This window comes from Homo sapiens, chromosome 4 (genome assembly GCF_000001405.40).
Source record: "Homo sapiens chromosome 4, GRCh38.p14 Primary Assembly".
In the NCBI taxonomy this organism is placed as follows: Eukaryota; Metazoa; Chordata; class Mammalia; order Primates; family Hominidae; genus Homo; species Homo sapiens.
Window position 1 is genome coordinate 126,924,438 of NC_000004.12, and position 4,053 is coordinate 126,928,490.

The 4,053-nt window shown below is 37.5% G+C and overlaps 1 annotated feature.

Moving 5' to 3' along the window:
* Positions 3,636-3,805: an enhancer, noted in NCBI's record as "experimental_73198 CRE fragment used in MPRA reporter constructs". NCBI's record gives its function as "activates a minimal promoter by MPRAs in K562 erythroleukemia cells, with activity observed for both the introgressed and non-introgressed 4:127849313 variant alleles {active_cell/tissue: K562}" and the evidence as "EXISTENCE:reporter gene assay evidence [ECO:0000049][PMID:34662402]".

The following is a 4,053-nucleotide window of genomic DNA, read 5'->3' on the forward strand; positions in this document are numbered from 1 at the left end:
AGTCAAAGTAAAATATTTATATTTTTATAGATCCTGCCAAACTGCCATCAAAACAGATTAAAATAATTCTAATTAGACCCCCTTTGAATAAGAATGATTGTTTCTTCATTCTCTACAGGTTCCTCCTTCCTCCTGTATATTAACAGATATTTTATTATTTGAGAAAATAAGAAAAATTGAAGTTATTATTATTTTAATTTTCACTTCTTCAAAATATGGGCACAATCATGCAGTTTCATGGGAAGGTAGTCTACTTGCATTTCTTTTGGGTGGGTTGGTTATCCAATATTAAAAATCACACTGGAAACTACATGAATATACATTTCATGGTCACAGTTGATTTTCCATTCCTCAGATTTGCCATTTTAGGGGAAGGAGTCTTGCATCATGTTCTTGTCACAACCTTGAAAAATCTATCCAGGCTGTGCTTATGTCCTTGTGAGCAGCATTGGTTTGGAGTTCTGTTTCAGTTTTGAGTATTTGTCAGGTTGATTCAATCACATGAAATCAGCATTATATAATTGCCTTAAGACCTGTTCTTTGTGTTTGTTGGCTTTAAAATGTTAAACTGAAAAGAGCTCAGGAGGTCTTTAAGTAAAAAAGAGGTTGCCTGTTCACTCTGATGATAGTTTTTTTTGCTGTGCTAAAGCTCTTTAGTTTTATTAGATCACAATTGTCAATTTTGGTTTTTGTTGCAATTGCTTTTGGTGTTTTTGTCATGAAGTCTTTGCCCACACCTATGTCCTGAATGGTATTGCCTAGGTTTTCTTATAGGGTTTTTATGGTTTTTGGTTTTACATTTAAGTCTTTAATCCATCTTGAGTTAATTTTAGTATAAGGTGTAAGGAAGGGGTCCTGTTTCAGTTTTCTGCACATGGTTAGCCAGTTTTCCCAGCTACCAAATAGAAGATCCTTTCACTGTTGCTTGTTTTTGTCAGGTATGTTGAAGATCAGATAGTTGTAGATGTGTGGTGTTATTTCTGAGGTCTCTGTTATGCTCCATTTGTGTATATGTCAGTTTTGGTACCAGTAACATGCTGTTTTGGTTACGGTAGCTTTGTAGTATAGTTTGAAGTCAGGTACCATAATGCCTCCAGCTTTGTTCTTTTTGCTTAGAATTGTCTTGGCTATATGGGGTCATCTTTGATTCCATATGAAATTTAAAATAGTTTATTCTAATTCTGTGAGGAATGTCAATGGTAGTTTGATGGGAATAGCATTGAATCTATAAATTATTTTGGGTAGTGTGGCCATTTTCACAATATTGATTCTTCCTATCCATGAGGATGGAATGTTTTTCCATTTGTTTGTGTCCTCTCTTATTTCCTTGAGCAGTGGTTTGTAGTTCTCCTTGAAGAGGTCCTTCACATCCCTCGTTAGCTGTATTCCTAGTTATTTTACTCTCTTTGTAGCAATTGTGAATGGGAGTTCATTCATGATTTGGCTTTCTGAACATGCAACCTACAGAATGGGAGAAAATTTTGCCAATCTACCCATCTGACAAATATCTAATATCCAGAATTTAAAAGAAACTTAAACATATTTACAACAAAAAAAAAAAGTTTTCATCAAAACGTGGGCAAAGGATATGAACAGACACTTCTCAAAAGAAAATATTTATATGGCCAACAAACATATGAAAAAAAGCTCAACATCACTGATCATCAGAGAAATGCAAATCAAAACCACAATGAGATACCATCTCATGCCAGTCGGAATGGTGATTATTAAAAAGTCAGGAAACAATAGATGCTGGTGAGTCTGCAGAGAAACAGGAATACTTTTGCACTGTTGGTGGGAGTGTAAATTAGTTCAACCATTGTGGAAGACAGTGTGGTGATTCCTCAAGGATCTAGAACCAGAAATACCATTTGACCCAGCAATCCCATTACTAGGTATATACCCGAAGGAATATAAATCATTCTACTATAAACATACATGCACACATATGTTTATTACAGCACTGTTTACAATAGCAAAGACGTGGAACCAGCCCAAATGGCCATCAATGATAGACTGGATAAAGAAAATGTGATACATATACACCATGGAATACTATGCAGCCATAAAAAGAAATGTGATCATGTCTTTTGCAGAGACGTGGATGAAGCTGGAAGCCATCATCCTCAGCAAACTAACACAGAACAGAAAACCAAACACCGCATGTTCTCACTCATAAGTGGGAGTTGAATATTGACAACACATGAACACAGAGAGGGGGACAACACATACCAGGGCCTGTTGGGGGTCGGTGGGTAAGGCAAGGGAACTTAGAGGATGGGTCAATAGATGCGGCAAACTATTATGGCACATGTATACCTATGTAATAAACCTGCACATTCTACACATATATTCCATTTTATATTTTTAGAAGAAATAAAGGAAAAAAGAAAAAGAAAAAAGAGGACTATTCATAAAGTTCAGATAGCGGACATAGAGTAGCTGGCAAAAGATTCCTTGTAGAGTCACAGCACTAGCTTCCCTCATTTTATGCAACAAAGTAGCAATAGTTCCCTTTTCCTGAAGAGAAGCCAAGGGGAAACTTCACTGCCTGTTCATGACTTTTATAAATTTTTTGTTACTGACCTTTTTCTTACTGATTTGTTACACACGTAACCAATCAATAAGAATGGATAGATACCTACATATTTAGATATCTATGTGTTGATCAACCTTTCATAATAATTTGTTAAAATTAAAGGAATGTGAAAGAGAGGAAGAAAACAGAAACAGAAGTGAAAGAGGAGGAGAAAAAAGAGAAGGTAAAGAAGCCACCTTTCATAAGAATGAACATCTTTCCATTGACTCTCCTAAATACTGGATCCCTGGTGTTTACTGATCTCTTAAACTAACTCTTTCTGTACATTGCCTTTAGAATGGGGATGAAGTTTGATCTTTACCACTTTAACAAAGGGGAATCTTTTCTTATTCCAAAATTATAAACCAGAAATTTAATTATATGGCCTGATTCTTTCAAAGTAGGAAGATTCTTAAGCACTTTTAAAAATGGAGTAATTACTGATATAAAATACAAGAGAGAATCAATTAATTTTTGTTTTATGTTTCATTTACTTAGAATTTGGTGGCTATTAGGCAACATCTAGGGTCAGTACTAAACCCTCTAACCTAACAACTCAGTTGGCCATTGTGGGAAGCATTTTACACCACTTCTTGTTGTGTTTCATCAGAATTTGATTATTTCTAGAATTAAATTTTCCACAGGGACTATACCTAATTTTTTTTTTTTTCTGAGATGGAGTTTCGCTCGTCACCCAGGCTGGAAGGCAGTGGTATGATCTCAGCTCACTGCAACCTCCGCCTCCCAGGTTCAAGTGATTCTCCTGCCTCAGCCTCGCAAGTAGTTGGGATTACAGGTGCCCACAACCACGCCTGGCTAATTTTTTGTATTTTTAGTAGAGACGGGGTTTCACAATGTTGGGCAGACTGGTCTCCAACTCTTGACCTCAGGTGATCCGCCCACTTCGGCCTCCTAATTCTTTTAAAGGGGTTGACAGATTATACTTATATTGAAGATGGATGCAACACACAGATGGTAGTCCCATGGCTGCCTTCTTGGTCTTATGTCTATGAGGATACACAAGCCAGCCCTTAGGCCTTTACTCTTCTAAATTATACAGCTAGATGACATCATAAGAGGGCTTTTTAAAATACACATTCTTGAAGCTTTGGAAACTTACAATGTACTGATTATATTGTCATATATCTCTATTAACTATACATACAATAATATAGTTTAAGCTATAAAGTTGGCATCTTCAGTATGTGTGTTTTATTTTAGTATTATAAACACAAAGTGGGGGGGAGGAGCCAAGATGGCCGAATAGGAACAGCTCCGGTCTACAGCTCCCAGCGTGAGCCACACAGAAGACGGGTGATTTCTGCATTTCCATCTGAGGTACCGGGTTCATCTCACTAGGGAGTGCCAGACAGTGGGCGCAGGCCAGTGGGTGCGCGCACCGTGCACGAGCCGAAGCAGGGCGAGGCATTGCCTCACCTGGGAAGCGCAAGGGGTCAGGGAATTCCCTTTCCGAG